The 16,363-nt window shown below is 44.7% G+C and overlaps 1 protein-coding gene across 1 annotated transcript, besides 1 other annotated feature; it reads left to right on the plus strand.

Annotated features, from left to right (window-relative positions):
* On the plus strand, positions 971–12,414 carry CD3E (CD3 epsilon subunit of T-cell receptor complex). Its single transcript, NM_000733.4, has 9 exons — positions 971–1,017; positions 1,135–1,242; positions 3,529–3,549; positions 4,668–4,682; positions 8,394–8,411; positions 8,859–9,107; positions 9,948–10,115; positions 10,689–10,735; positions 11,727–12,414. The coding sequence occupies exons 2-9, from the start codon at positions 1,194–1,196 to the stop codon at positions 11,781–11,783; spliced, it is 624 nt and encodes a 207-aa protein (NP_000724.1). The 5' UTR covers positions 971–1,017; positions 1,135–1,193; the 3' UTR covers positions 11,784–12,414.
* Positions 12,778–13,017: an enhancer, noted in NCBI's record as "active region_5588". NCBI's record gives its function as "activates an Ori minimal core promoter by ATAC-STARR-seq in GM12878 lymphoblastoid cells {active_cell/tissue: GM12878}" and the evidence as "EXISTENCE:reporter gene assay evidence [ECO:0000049][PMID:35858748]".

The raw sequence follows: 16,363 nt of genomic DNA on the forward strand, positions 1-16,363 counted from the left end.
TGAGTAGCTGGGAATACAGGTGTACACCATCATGCGGGGCATGGTTATTGGTTATGAGGTTATCTGTTTAATCTCCACATTTCCTTTTTTATCCAAGAGGACTATTTATCTTGTTTCTCCTGTATTACTAGCACCCAGCATATAACTACAGTACAGTAGACAGAAAATATGTATTAAATAAGTGAATTTCATCAAAATGTTTTCTAGAGTCCCAGCTCTGTAATCTGCAACTTAGATAACCTGCCTGAGCCTTAGTTTGCTCAAGTATAAAATGGAAATAAAAATAAAAATAATACTTACCTTAGAGGGTCGTTTTGAGGATTAAATAAGATATATCAGAAAAGCTCTTAGAACGGTGCTTGGATATAGTAAGCATTTGATTAATGCATGCTTAAACATAAAGAAAGGTTACATCAATTCACACTCATACCAGCAGACTTTGACACTATCACTCTTTACCCTGTTCAACATTGAGTCTTGTGTTTTTAAATATTTTTGTAAAGAATATAGGTAAAAAGTGGCATTTTTTCTTTGGATTTAATTCTTATGGATTTAAGTCAACATGTATTTTCAAGCCAACAAGTTTTGTTAATAAGATGGCTGCACCCTGCTGCTCCATGCCAGATCCACCACACAGAAAGCAAATGTTCAGTGCATCTCCCTCTTCCTGTCAGAGCTTATAGAGGAAGGAAGACCCCGCAATGTGGAGGCATATTGTATTACAATTACTTTTAATGGCAAAAACTGCAGTTACTTTTGTGCCAACCTACTACATGGTCTGGACAGCTAAATGTCATGTATTTTTCATGGCCCCTCCAGGTATTGTCAGAGTCCTCTTGTTTGGCCTTCTAGGAAGGCTGTGGGACCCAGCTTTCTTCAACCAGTCCAGGTGGAGGCCTCTGCCTTGAACGTTTCCAAGTGAGGTAAAACCCGCAGGCCCAGAGGCCTCTCTACTTCCTGTGTGGGGTTCAGAAACCCTCCTCCCCTCCCAGCCTCAGGTGCCTGCTTCAGAAAATGGTGAGTCTCTCTCTTATAAAGCCCTCCTTTTTCATCCTAGCATTGGGAACAATGGCCCCAGGGTCCTTATCTCTAGCAGATGTTTTGAAAAAGTCATCTGTTTTGCTTTTTTTCCAGAAGTAGTAAGTCTGCTGGCCTCCGCCATCTTAGTAAAGTAACAGTCCCATGAAACAAAGATGCAGTCGGGCACTCACTGGAGAGTTCTGGGCCTCTGCCTCTTATCAGGTGAGTAGGATGGAGTGGAAAGGGTGGTGTGTCTCCAGACCGCTGGAAGGCTTACAGCCTTACCTGGCACTGCCTAGTGGCACCAAGGAGCCTCATTTACCAGATGTAAGGAACTGTTTGTGCTATGTTAGGGTGAGGGATTAGAGCTGGGGACTAAAGAAAAAGATAGGCCACGGGTGCCTGGGAGAGCGTTCGGGGAGCAGGCAAAGAAGAGCAGTTGGGGTGATCATAGCTATTGTGAGCAGAGAGGTCTCGCTACCTCTAAGTACGAGCTCATTCCAACTTACCCAGCCCTCCAGAACTAACCCAAAAGAGACTGGAAGAGCGAAGCTCCACTCCTTGTTTTGAAGAGACCAGATACTTGCGTCCAAACTCTGCACAGGGCATATATAGCAATTCACTATCTTTGAGACCATAAAACGCCTCGTAATTTTTAGTCCTTTTCAAGTGACCAACAACTTTCAGTTTATTTCATTTTTTTGAAGCAAGATGGATTATGAATTGATAAATAACCAAGAGCATTTCTGTATCTCATATGAGATAAATAATACCAAAAAAAGTTGCCATTTATTGTCAGATACTGTGTAAAGAAAAAATTATTTAGACGTGTTAACTGGTTTAATCCTACTTCTGCCTAGGAAGGAAGGTGTTATATCCTCTTTTTAAAATTCTTTTTAATTTTGACTATATAAACTGATAAGTCCTCTCTACTTCACAGATTAAGAAATTGATACTCAAAAAAGTTAAATAACTTGTTTTAAACCACATAGTAAGTGCCGAAGCCAATCTGTGAGACCAGGACTGTTTGTACTCTAAATGGCTGCACCACATGAGGCAAAATGGCTCGTGATGGTTTTATTTCAAAGACCTAGAAAACACTATCACAGCTGGTGCTCCCGTCTCAGACCCACAGCAACGATGTCTCCACTTCCTGCTTCATCTTGGGTTTCTCACGTCTTGAATGTGCACACAAATCACCTGGGGATCTTGTTAAAAATGCAGCTTCTGTTTCAAAAGACCCAGACTGGAAATGGAGATTCCGCATGTCTAGTACGCTCTCAAGTTTATTAATCTGCTGCTGGTCCTAGGAACATATTGAGTAGCGAGGGGCAGGATGTGACTCCTGTAAGGAGTGGCCAGGCATTTTCTTAGAGACCTGTGTTATAAAGTATGCTTTTCCTTAAAAAAAAGAAGAAGGAGGAGGAGGAGAAGGGCCAGGTGCAGTGGCTTACGCCTGTAAGCCCAGCATTTTGGGGGACCAAAGTGGGAAGATCACTTGAGCTCAGGAGTTCAAGACCAGCCTGGGCAAAGTAGTGAAACCCCATTTCTACAAAAAATTAAAAATTAGCCAGGCAAGGTGGCACACACCTATAGTTCCAGCTACTTGGGAGGCTGAGGTGGAAGGATCACTTGAGCCCAGGAGGTCGAGGCTGCAGTAAGCCATGATCAAGCCACTGCACTCCAGCCTGGAGTGTCTCAAAATAGATAAATAAATAAATAAATAAATAAATAAATAAATAAATAAAAGAGACAGTATCAAAGACCCAATCACCTCTAGACATCTGGCATCATAGGAATGTGCCCAGTCTGCTCTGGGGATAGGAAAGTGGGGATCCTGTCTCCCCCTGTGTAGAGGTTTCAGTAAAAGAAAGGCCTAGGTGTGCAGAAAGCTTTCAGGCAATGCCAGGGAAACTGATCATTGTAATGAATCCAGGGTATTGCTGAGTGAGGGCATCCTGGAGGGCCCGGTGGAAATGTGGTCAGGCTCTTCAATGCACAGGCCCTAGTTGATGAGTAATCAGGGTTTCAAATATTTCCATCTCTGTCTCAAGCAGAAAACAAATGGAAAAACTGAACCACCAGAAAAGCAGAGCCAGAGATGGAACAAGAATCCCAGTGTTTGTACCCAACCAAGAGCGTGTTTTTCTTCCACAGACACCAATGTTCAAAATGGAGGCTTGGGGGCAAAATTCTTTTGCTATGTCTCTAGTCGTCCAAAAAATGGTCCTAACTTTTTCTGACTCCTGCTTGTCAAAAATTGTGGGCTCATAGTTAATGCTAGATGCTTCCTTCCTCTATTTCCCCCCAAATTTCCTGGGAACCCCTGGTCAATACCAGCAGTAAGTTCCACTGTTCTAGGGTGTAGAAATGGCTGTGACCCAGCAGCAAGAGGGAAGGACATCAGATGTCATCAGTGGTCATACTGCAACACAGCCCTTTTTCTGTTTAGGAATGCAGGTACCCACAACATTTACTAACACTTTTTTTTTCTTATTTATTTTCTAGTTGGCGTTTGGGGGCAAGATGGTGAGATATGCTTTCTTTCTTTCTTTTTTATGAAATCACCCCATCATTCTTTGTAGTTATGAATGGAGCTTTCTCTTAGGCCTCCCACAGAACTTCCACAGAGGTCAGGAAAAGGAGTTTCTGCCATCTACCCCTTTGACTTTCCTCACAAGTCTGGAGATATTTCTAGCCCAGAAGAGGGAAGCAACAGAGGCAGGAAATAATGAGTCTTAACCATACAAAAGAAAAATTGAGACTTAAATGAAGTTGAAAGCACTAACAGTTTTCATTTGTTTGCATTTCATATTTGATGTGAGATTCTGCAGAGGAGACGTAGCCAGAATGCATGCACAGGGTTACTCTGGATAAGCTGCTGGGGCAACATTTGGATGTGTGTTCAGAATCACATGTCTGAATACTCTGAATATATGTGTGTACATGTGTATTTATGCAAGTGCACATGCATATGAGTGTGCCCGGCCTGAACTTACTCTCTCAACCACAGCGGTAGAGTCAGGAGTGTTCCAACATTGGAAGCCCCTCTATTCAATCAGCTCTTCCAAACTGAGTGAACCAATGTTGTATTTAATGGCAACCATGGCTGGACACCATGGCTCACACCTGTAATCCCAGCACTTTGGGAGGCCGAGGTGGGCAGATCACTTGAGGCCAGGAGTTCGAGACCAGCCTGGCCAACATGGCGAAACCCCGTCTCTACTAAAAATACCAAAATCAGCCAGACATGGTGGTGTACGCCTGTAGTCCTAGCTACTCGAGAAGCTGAGGCAGGAGAATCGCTTGAACCTGGGAGGCAGAGGTTGTAGTGAGCCGAGATCACACCACTGCACTCTAGCCTGGGTGACACATCGAGACTGTCTCAAAAATAAAATAAAGACAACCATTATGCCAGCCTAGATTCCGCCATGCTGCCTAATTTGTAGTGTCCTTAGGAGCCATTTTTGTAAATAGTCATCAGATAAGATGTAAGGCCCATAACAGCTTTTTCTATGCAGCTGAGGGAATTGGAAGATCCATTGTTTCCTAAGAGTTGAGGGAAGAGTCCCAACCCACGGGAGCAGGGTCTGATCTTCATTGCCGATAGAAACATTACTAATGGCTTCTTACTGTTTCCTTTTCAGGTAATGAAGAAATGGGTAAGAAGATTTCCACTCTATCTAGCAAAAGTTTTCAAATATGGAATGAAATGCTCATAGAGTACAATCACAGTAACAAACCCTGAGAACTAAAACTATTAAAGGGAAAATACAAGTATCTTTCAATGGGATCCGTATGAAACTTGCCTGTATTTGTTGCTAGCTGTCATGTCAGATTATAGCTGTGCATATATGTATCTCTGATCATACACATATGGATGTGGGTTGGAGCTACCATGTGTTTTTGTATAAGCCATGAAATCTTTGAAGGCAGACAGAGACAGTGTCTCATTTACCTAGCCCAGTGTCTGGCACATAGTAGGTGCTCAATGAATATTTTTTGAATGAATAAATGAACAAACATATGAACACATTGCTAATTACCTCCCCTCAAGAAGCTGATGGTCTTGTGTGAGAGACAAATAATTGAAAATATAGTGAGTTGCATGTTATAATATGGGTAGATACAGAGTAAAATGAAGTATAAAGAGGGGAGTGGTCAACTCTACTGAGTGTCGTTGGGAAAGGTTCCCTGGGGGAGGTGGTCCTTGAGCTGAATTTTAAAGGATAAGCTTATGTTTTAGGGAAGAAAAATATTTTATGCAGAAGAGATAAAGCTGTATAGTATGAGGATAAGAGTCTAACTGAGCTAGATCAGAATGTTTGAATCTTGGCTCAACTCTCTACTTGCTGGGTGTGTTTGAGTAATTTACCTAACTTTTCTGTGCCACAGCATCATCATGGTACAATGGAAATAATAGTGCTACCTAACTTGTAGGGTTATTATGAGGACCAAATGAGTAATTCATTTAAGGCACTTAGAACATTATCTGACATAAAAGGCAGTAGGAGGGCCGGGCATGGTGGCTCACACCTGTAATCCCAGCACTTTGAGAAGCCGAGGTGGGAGGATCACCTGAGGTCAGGAGTTCGAGACCGGCCTGGCCAACATGGTGAAACTCCATCTCTGCTAAAAATACAAAAATTAGCCAGGCATGGTGGCAGGTGCCTGTAATCTCAGCTACTCAGGAGGCTGAGGTAGGAGAATTGCTTGAACCTGGGAGGCGGAGGTTGGAGTGAGCTGAGATTGTGCCATTGCACTCCAGCCTGGGCGACAGAGCAAGACTCTGTCTCAAAACAAACAAACAAACAAACAGACAGTAGGTGAATTTTAGCTATTAATACATGGAAAGCATGCTGACTATAGATGATAAGCATTAAAGTTTACTGAGCATGTATGTTTTAGGCATTGCTCTAAATATTTTACTTGAATTTCCTCATTTAATTCTTCCAACACCCCTACTGTACAGTTAAGGAAACAAAGCCTCAAATAAATACAGAAATAAACAAAAATAAGTAAACAATCCAGTCCTGGGGATATAAATGCAGATTTAGGCCAAGTGCCATGGTTCATGCCTATAATCCCAACACTTTGGGAGGCCAAGGCAGGAGGCTCGCTTGAGCTCAGAAGGTTGAGGCTGCATTGAGCAAAGATTGTGCCACTGTACTCGAGCCTCTGTGGCAGAGAAAGACCCTGTCTCTGAAAAAATTAATAAATAGAAATTTAAAAATAAAAAAATTTTAATGCAGATTTATATGATACCGAAGTTCATTTTCTCAACCATTATGAAATACTGTTTCTGGATATGTATAAAATCTTTGTGAGCACACATATCTTTTTTTAACTTAACTTTCATTTTAAATTCAGGGGTACATGTGCAGGTTTGTTATATAGGTAAACTTGTGCCATGGGGGTTTGTTGTATAGATTATTTCATCACCCAGGCATTAAGCCTGGTACCTGTTAGTTATTTTTCCTGATCCTCTCCCTCCTCCCACCCTCCACCTTCTGAGAGGTCCCAGTGTGTGTCATTTCCCTCTGTGTTCATGTGTTCTCATCATTTAGCTCCCACTTCTAAATGAGAACATGTGGTATTTGGTTTTCTGTCACTGTGTTAGTTTGCTAAAGATAATGGCCTCCAGTCCCATCCATGTTCCTGCAAAGGACGTGATCTCATTCTTTTTTATGGCTGCGTAGTATTCCATGGTGTATATGCAGCACATTTTTTTATCCAGTCTACCACTGACAGGCATTTAGGTTGATTCCATGTCTTTGCTATTGTGAATAGTGCACAATGAACATACGTGGAGCACATTTCTGTCTAAGCACAGACATCTAGACCCTTGTGTGAGCATGAGTTAAGTCTAAGCTCTGCTACTGAATTTGTGCCAATAAAAGTTGTGAGCAATTTTCTTTACATTTTTTTCAAACAAACACACCCAGCAGAGTATAATGTCTATGTACTTTATTTATGATTTCTAGTTCATTTAACATGTCTAAGAAACATCCGTGTTGAAAAATTATTTATAAATTAAAATAATATAAACTATCTACTGTCCTTATACTCAACTCCCAATTATAAGCAGGTGGAAAAACCTGGAGAATGTTTTGTTTACATTCTGTGCAGTCTTTGTCAGAGGGCTGCCTGAGCAACTGGGTCAGAGTTTAGTTCTGCTCTGGGAGTAGCAGGACCTCAAGAAGGAAAGGAGGAAAGGAAGTAACTTTTTCTTGAGCACCTGCTATGTGTCATTCACTTTCACCTTCATAATCCATTTAATTTTCGCAAAAACTTTGTGAGGTTGGTGTTTTATCTCCATTTCCCTGATAAAGAAGTTGAGGTTCAGCAAAGTTAAATGACTTGCCCTCAGTCACACAGACTAGGGCAGATCCAGGATTCAAACTCAGGGCTTCTGACTCTTGAGTCCAGAGCTCTGTCCCTGACAGCAGCAGCACTGCCTCTCCTCTCTTCCAGCTGTTATGTCCAGACTGTAGCAGAACCCAGTGTTCCAGCCACAAGTTTTCCAGGAAATAATAAAGGACTCCTAGCTCCACCTCCCAGGGCAAAAATGGCTGCTGTGGGAAACACAGGCTGGACCTACGAATGGCATTAGTGGTTTATTAGTTGATTTCAGTTGTCCACACTAATAGGCCTCCCTCTAACAAAAATAATTGAGAGCTGATTATGCTCAGATATAATGTAAAGTGAAGCCACTTTTTATTGGAAGAAGCATTCCCTCAAAACGTGTAGAGTATTTCACATTATTTAAAGGCAAATAGAGAGAAAATTATATGGAATAAGAACAAAGATGTTTCTTCTCTATTATGAGGGACTCAGTTCTGAGAAAGGATTTTAAATTGTAAGAAATAGGTAAGTCCACGAATCAGTGATTCAGTGGTGTGGAGAGCTTTATTTCTGAGAAGGCCAGTAGCGCTCCCTTCTGACAAGCAAATCTAAGACCTGGATGACAGATGACTTCCTGCATTTGGTTGGTTCTTTTGTCATTCATATCTATCTGTAATACAGTTCTGGCTAATTTAAGAGGATAAGCTTGAAGACCTCTGGAATTTTTCGGCTTTAGGACTTTAAGGCTTTCTGAGCTTCAGTAGATCTAGATCTAGGAGCTCATGCTGGTATATTCTGAATCCGATGTATCTGAGTTACATCTATGAGCTACTTAATAAATATATCTATGAGCTAAATCTCATAGGCTAAGCATGAACCTCACCTCCAAGACTCGGGGTTCCTAAATGGATGAGACCCTCTTTGGGAAGTCTTGTGGGCAGTGTCTAATTCCACTAGAAAAGTTTTACCTACAATTTAAACTTAAACCATGATATTTTCTTACTGCTGTTTCCTTTTTTCATTTTCAGGTGGTATTACACAGACACGTGAGTTTATTGGTCTTTTATTTATGCCCTGTCTGAGGATGCAGATTGGTGGGTAGATGAGAAGGAACTGATTGAGAGAGATTAACCCCAAGAACTGATATCTTCCCAGCATTGCATTCTCAACTCCATTTTAGAAAGGTTCCAAATAGGGACTTCTGTGGGTTTTTCTTTACATCCATCTTACCCTTCCCAAGTCCCCATGTCCCTGCGTAAACCCTAAAGCCACCTCTCAAAAGGTTCTCTAGTTCCCTTCAAGGTTCTCTAGTTCCCTTCATTCCACATATCTCCTCTTCCACACCCTCTAGCCAGTAGAGCTCCCTTCTGACAAGCAAGTCTAAGATCTAGATGACAGATGACTTCCTGCATTTGGGTGGTTCTTTTGTCACTAATTTGCCTTTTCTAAAATTGTCCTGGTTTCTTCTGCCAATTTCCCTTCTTTCTCCCCAGCATATAAAGTCTCCATCTCTGGAACCACAGTAATATTGACATGCCCTCAGTATCCTGGATCTGAAATACTATGGCAACACAATGATAAAAACATAGGCGGTGATGAGGATGATAAAAACATAGGCAGTGATGAGGATCACCTGTCACTGAAGGAATTTTCAGAATTGGAGCAAAGTGGTTATTATGTCTGCTACCCCAGAGGAAGCAAACCAGAAGATGCGAACTTTTATCTCTACCTGAGGGCAAGAGGTAATCCAGGTCTCCAGAACAGGTACCACCGGCTCTTTAGGGAGGACCATTCAAAAGGGCATTCTCAGTGATTTTCCCTAACCCAGCTCACAGTGCCCAGGCGTCTTTGCGCTTCCTCCCACACTCAATCCTGGGACTCTCTGGTACCACACGGCATCAGTGTTTTCTGGAATATAGATTAAACACCAATATGAGGCTTCTGGGTAACCCCAGTCTGTGCGAGATCTAAAATAGCAACTCCCTAAGAGACAGGACTGGGTCATTTGCACCGCATCACACCCAGGTTCATAGCACACCAACATGAGTTTATCTAATGCTTCCTCCAGAGATAAATTTTTCAGAAAGGTTTGCAAAAAACACTCAAGGCCACTATAGTAAAATGGCATAAGCTAAGGTATAATAATAAAATAATAACAATACTTAACATTTATTGAGTGCTTATTAAGTCTCAAGCACTGTCTGTACCCAACACTTATCAAGGATTCTTTTTCATGTAATCCTCTCAACAACTATATGGGTTAAGTATCATTTTATTCCCATGAGTAAAGGGATGAGGAAACAGAGGGTTTGTGAGTTGAAAACACATTTCACGCTTCTCACAGCTAGTGAGTAATAAAGCTGGGACTCAAACCCAGGGCTGTTTGACTCCAGTGCCTCTACCCACGGCCACCACTCTTTGCTTGTCAATGTTGTTCTAAACATATTGAAGGGGGGGCTCTGACCGTGGCAAGCGTGTGAGTAGTAAGGGGAGAATGGCCTTCATGCACTCCCTCCTCACCTCCAGCGCCTTGTGTTTTCCTTGCTTAGTGATTTCCCCTCTCCCCACCCCACCCCCCACAGTGTGTGAGAACTGCATGGAGATGGATGTGATGTCGGTGGCCACAATTGTCATAGTGGACATCTGCATCACTGGGGGCTTGCTGCTGCTGGTTTACTACTGGAGCAAGAATAGAAAGGCCAAGGCCAAGCCTGTGACACGAGGAGCGGGTGCTGGCGGCAGGCAAAGGGGTAAGGCTGTGGAGTCCAGTCAGAGGAGATTCCTGCCAAGGGGGACGACCAGCCTGGGCCAGGGTGGGTGGCAAGTCCACAGCTAGGTCAGAACAGCTTCTCTAGAGCTTCTATGCACAGCTTCTATTACTGTGATGACAAGATCTCAACAGACGGTTTCAAATCTCACATCACTCCCCTCCTTCCCATCCTAGAAAAGTGCAAAAAAGTTTATGAAAGTGATGGGCTTCCTCACATACCTGTCAATGCCTGCAGTCATCCGATTCCGCCCCTAAGCTGTGGGAAGAGAGACTTTGATATATTAGCTCCTGCCTTTTCCTTTCCCTTCCCCTATGGAGAGAAACAATGGGAGGATCTTGAGCTGAGGAAAGTCACAAAATGATGAGAAGAGTGTAGGGTCCTTAGAGATGAATGAAAGAAAAAAAAAGAGAAAGGACGTCTGAACAGAAAAGGGAGCGGTAGAGGAGAGAACAATGGGGTTTGCCATTCTCTATCTGGGTCTCACTGGCACAGACAGTGCTGCAAGATTGGTTCCCTCATGGGAATGAAATGTTTCCCCTCCTTCCTCCGCAGGACAAAACAAGGAGAGGCCACCACCTGTTCCCAACCCAGACTATGAGGTAACGTGGGATAGAAATGGGCCAGGACGCTGGAGGGGATGTCCCTCCAGGGGGGAAGGAAACAGATGGGATGGCCCATCTTGTCTGCCAGATGCCTCAAAGCCCCTCACTCAGGGCTTCCATTACAACCCTCTATGTGCCACCTCTGCGTCCTTCATGGTAAAACAGGACTGTCTCAAAGGCTGCATGGCTTCCACAACCATGGAGAGGTGGAAGCTTGCAGGAGACATACTCCTCTTTCTCTGGCTTATTCATTGACTGGGATACAGCCATGGAGAATATTATATATGCAAATTCTAACACAATAAATTCTGGGCTGATATTCCACCAGCATGCACCAGTATAGCGAGTTATTGAAATATTAAAATTATATAAATATTATATAAAAGTTATTGAAATATTAAAATACTCATTGGGAAATAGCCCCAAACTTTGCTCACCCCAACCCACCCTTACACACACACATACACACACACACACACACACACACACACACACACACACACGTGACCAGACATCCCAGTCCCTCCCCTACCGGGCTGCCTCTTGAGTTGGGGTAACAAAGAGTTAATGCCTGGCATGGCAGAGGATCACCAGGATTGTTCTAGTTGATTGGTATGTGTGCACTCCTAGTTGTTAAATATTTTCACTATCACACCTGGATATACTCAACAAATATTTGTTGAGCCAAATACTCAACACCAGCCAAACACGTAGTATTTACTTTAGCTTAAGCGAATTATTTAGCCCTGACAGAAGCCCTGGAATGTGGGTCTTTAAGTTCCTATTTTTGAGATGGGAAAGCTGAGGCTCACGGAAGGAGGTGACCAGCTCAAGTCTCCTACCGTCCATGCCAAATTAGAATTCCAGCCTGCCTCCTGACTTCAAGTCCAAAGTTCTTCCCACGCACTAAAGCTAGCTCTTCAGTGTCCTTTCTTAGGAGGTACTTCCTCCCGCACCACTGACCGCCCCCTCTCTATTTCACCCCCAGCCCATCCGGAAAGGCCAGCGGGACCTGTATTCTGGCCTGAATCAGAGACGCATCTGACCCTCTGGAGAACACTGCCTCCCGCTGGCCCAGGTCTCCTCTCCAGTCCCCCTGCGACTCCCTGTTTCCTGGGCTAGTCTTGGACCCCACGAGAGAGAATCGTTCCTCAGCCTCATGGTGAACTCGCGCCCTCCAGCCTGATCCCCCGCTCCCTCCTCCCTGCCTTCTCTGCTGGTACCCAGTCCTAAAATATTGCTGCTTCCTCTTCCTTTGAAGCATCATCAGTAGTCACACCCTCACAGCTGGCCTGCCCTCTTGCCAGGATATTTATTTGTGCTATTCACTCCCTTCCCTTTGGATGTAACTTCTCCGTTCAGTTCCCTCCTTTTCTTGCATGTAAGTTGTCCCCCATCCCAAAGTATTCCATCTACTTTTCTATCGCCGTCCCCTTTTGCAGCCCTCTCTGGGGATGGACTGGGTAAATGTTGACAGAGGCCCTGCCCCGTTCACAGATCCTGGCCCTGAGCCAGCCCTGTGCTCCTCCCTCCCCCAACACTCCCTACCAACCCCCTAATCCCCTACTCCCTCCACCCCCCCTCCACTGTAGGCCACTGGATGGTCATTTGCATCTCCGTAAATGTGCTCTGCTCCTCAGCTGAGAGAGAAAAAAATAAACTGTATTTGGCTGCAAGAGTTGCTGTCCCTGTTTTCTGAGAGACCCTCAGAGGCTGCCTTAACTCCCAAGACCATTCAGGTTCTCACTATCTTTGACTAAATTCTCAGCTATGACCCCAGATGCGAGCACTCTCTGTTTCCACAGCTGGTAGGGCCGTTACCTGAAGCTCTCTTTAGAGAGGGCATAAGGGAATAAGAAAAAAAAGAGAGAGAGAGAGTGAAGGGAGGGGAAAGAAAAGAAAAAGAGAGAGAGAAAGAAAAATAAAAGGAAAGGGAAAGAAGGGAGGGATTGAGGAAGGGAAGAAAGAAAGAGGATGGGAGGGAGAGAAAGAAAGAAAGTTTCACCAACTTCTCTTGGAGGAAAACATCAAACGTGGCAGAGAAAGACTGATGGGTCCCTGATGGAGTGGTTGGTAGAAAATGGACAAGACAGAAATAGGCCTTGAAAGACAGATGAAGGTACGGAAGAGGACGGTGGCGGTGGAAGCCGGGCTTGGAGATGGGACACAGATTTCCACAAGCTGCCAGGAAAAGCTGCGAGCCAGGGCTGGGGAAGTGAAGGAGGGAGGTGTCTCAAGCAGGCACACCCCCACCCTGAGGCAGCCGCCTGCAGCCAGAGGCGGGCTGTGGTTAAGCAGTGCAGGATGTGGGCTGCACTGCTAAGCGTGGCTTCTGGGAGTGAGGGTGGGAGAGGTACAGCGGCAGCTGGGCGGAGGCCCGTGTGAGAGCGCTTTGTTCTCAGTCTCCCACAGCACACTCTGCTTGCAGAGAGAGGAGGCTGGAGCATCCAGGAACTGTCCTAATCCAGCTCAAACCAGTGGGCTCTCTTCTCTCCCTCCCTGCACTAATAATTCACCCTGCTGATTTATGAGTGCGACCACCACTAAAAAGGCCATTCGTGACCAGCAGCCTCCACATACTGCTCCCCCTCAGCCTTGGGCTGTAGCTACAGCTTCTATTTGTTTTTGGTCGCTGTTGAAGAGTCACTTCCTTCACTCTAAGCATCAACACTTAGGTTCAGAAGATGCCTCCATGATGTTGTCCATCACTAGCTGCTGGATGGCAGTTTTGTCCCAAGTATACTTGATTGTGCCCTGTCAAGGGGAGGCATGGCTCAGCGTAATACAGGCAATAACAGCTGACATGTGTTGAGCATTTACTCAATACATGCTTCAGAAATTGTACGTAGCACTTTACCTGCATTATCTCATTTAATCTTTATGTTGACACAAGAAGTTAGATGTCATCCTCATTTTACAGACGAGGATACTGAGGCTCAGAGAGGTCAAATCATTGCCCAAGTCACAGATGGGGTGGGGCAGAGCTGGAACTAGCAGCCAATTTTAATGGTCAGAGCATCTACTCATTACTGACTGTGATCATAAAGAATGTTCCCCATTGTCGCACACTGGGGCCTGTCGGGGGTGTGGGGGCCAAGGGCAGGAAGAGCATTAGGACAAATACCCAATGCATGAGGGGCTTAAAACCTAGACGATGGGTTGATAGGTGCAGCAGATCACCATGGCACATGTATACCTATGTAACAAACCTGCACGTTCTGCATATGCATCCCAGAACTTAAAGTAAAATTTAAAAATAAAAATTTTAAAAAAGAATGTGTCGGGCACGGTGGCTTACGCCTGTAATCCTAGCACTATGGGAGGCCGAGGCAGGCGGATCATGAGGTCAGGAGTTCGAGACCAGCCTGGCCAACATAGTGAAACCCTGTCTCTACTAAAAATACAAAAAATTAGCCAGGCATGGTGGTGGGTGCCTATAATCCCAGCTATTTGGGAGGCTGAGGCAGGAGAATCACTTGAACCCAGGAAGCAGAAGTTGCAGCAAGCGGAGATCGTGCCATTGCACTCCAGCCCAGGCAACAGTGCAAGACTCCGTCTCAAAAAAAAAAAAAAAAAAAAAAAGAATGTTTCTCATTGTCCTGACTTAAAAGCTCTGTATTTAATTGTTTATGCATTCCTTCAATGAGTGCTTTTCTAATCACTCATGTGGCTATCAGCACTATGCTAACTGCTAAGAGGATATCAATAAACAGTTCTTGTCTTCAAGGAGCTTGCAATTATATAAAAGCGGTCAAACATGCAAAAAGTTAAAGAGCAACACAAGAACAGATGATGTGATTAAGCACTCATGCGTGTTACAGAGTGTTGCAGGTGTTCAGAGGCAGAAAAAGCTCCACGGAGGAAAGACTTTATCTAGGCCTTGAAGGGAAGGATGAATAGAACTTGGAGATAAAGAAGGCACTCCAGGCCAGACACGGTGGCTCACACCTGCAATCCCAGCACTTTGGGAGGCCAAGGCAGGTGGATCATGAGGTCAGGAGTTCAAGACCAGCCTGACCAACATAGTGAAAACTCGTTTCTACTAAAAATACAAAAATTGGCCGGGCACGGTGGCATATGCCTGTAGTCCCAGTTACTTGGGAGGCTGAGGCAGGAGAATTGCTTGAACCCGGAAGGCGGGGGTTGTGTGGGTGAGCCGAGATTGTGCCACTGCACTCCAGCCTGGGCAATAGAGAGAGACTTCATCTTCGAAAAAAAAAAAAAGAAGAAGAAGGCACTCCAGATTGCAGAGAAGGTTATGAACAAAGACTTCCAGGCAACCAGCTCCGCACTAGAGAAGCAAATCGACTTAAGGAAAGAAGAAGGAAAGTGGCTATTTGAGGGCACATGCTATGCTCAGGTCCTTTCTCAAGTTCTAGCCACGCCTTACTTACTCACTCCTTAATGCATCATGCAAAGTAGGTATTATTTTATCAGTTTCGCAAAAGAGAAAACTGACTTTCAGCAATAATAGGTAACTTCCTTAAGTTCCCAGAGCAAGGAAGTGAAGGCCCTGGAACCTAAACCCAGATCCTCTAGCACACTCTCCCACAAATGTCTGATTCTGCTTTGCTGAAATACAGTGAATATGGCAGGTCCCCAAAGTACATCCTAGGACCTTGTGGTTCCTGGCTGTGCCTGGCCACATCAAAGCAGGGAGGCTGACAATCTCTGTCCCTTCTTGGCTCCCTCTTCCACTCCCCTGAGTGGTTGGGCCACACTTTCAGTGCTCCTGTCAAAAGGCCACCCAATCCCTGCTCTCCTCACCGTGAGCAGCTGAGGGCAACTCCAGCTTCACGGAGAACAGAGAATAGGCCCACGGGGCCTGCAGCCAACCCCTTACCTACTCCCTCATGTGCTTCCTCACCTGCCCTTCCTGCCCCAAGGATGGGACTTTTCCCACTCACCTAAAACCTTGATAGCCTCCCCTTTCTTCTGCTCCAGTGTCTCATGACATCACCTCTCCCTCTCCCCAGTATTACCCAACTGTCCCCTTTAACTTGATCTTTCCCCTCCACTGCATGCTCACATCTCTCCCATGCTAAGATAAGCTCTCCCTTGACCCTGCATGCCTCCTGCCCAGATACTTCCCTTTCTCTCTCTGCCTTTTTAAGTCCCAAAGAGAAGTCTACTAGGCCAACTTCCTCATTTCCCTCTGATCCTCAGCCCTTTACAGTCGGGCTTCCTCCTCTCCCACTCCAGAAACTCTCAAAAACATCACAGTGCCCTCCTCCTTGCCAAATCAAAGAAGCACTCCATGAGCCTTTCAAGAGCAGACCTCTTGGAAGTATGTGAAAGATTGACTGCTCACTTCCTTGGCTTCCATGACATCCTCTGCCCCTCCTTACCTCTCTTGAAATTCCTCCTCCCTGCTCCTTAAACACTGGTGTTCTTCGAGGTTCTGTTCTCATTCCAATACCCTTCACACTTCACCTATTTTTCTTACTTTCCCATATCTCTACCCCCAGACCTGACCAGATCAGATATCCTCTTAGGCTTTAGACATATTCTGGATGTATCCATTGGGAGCCCACAGACTTCACAGACATTTCAAATTTGAGATGTTCAAAACTGAAGTCACCATTCCACCCCCCACCCACCCCCAATCCCTCAAACCATCTCCTC

Source organism: Homo sapiens, chromosome 11 (genome assembly GCF_000001405.40).
Source record: "Homo sapiens chromosome 11, GRCh38.p14 Primary Assembly".
Classification (NCBI taxonomy): domain Eukaryota; kingdom Metazoa; phylum Chordata; class Mammalia; order Primates; family Hominidae; genus Homo; species Homo sapiens.

Excerpts from the sequence above, each read along its gene's own strand:
- CD3E (NM_000733.4), top strand. The coding sequence starts at position 1,194 with ATGCAGTCGGGCACTCACTGGAGAGTTCTGGGCCTCTGCCTCTTATCA. Across the intron at positions 1,243-3,528 it reads GGGCCTCTGCCTCTTATCAG|TTGGCGTTTGGGGGCAAGAT; the intron begins GTGAGTAGGATG and ends TTTATTTTCTAG. Across the intron at positions 9,108-9,947 it reads TCTCTACCTGAGGGCAAGAG|TGTGTGAGAACTGCATGGAG; the intron begins GTAATCCAGGTC and ends CACCCCCCACAG.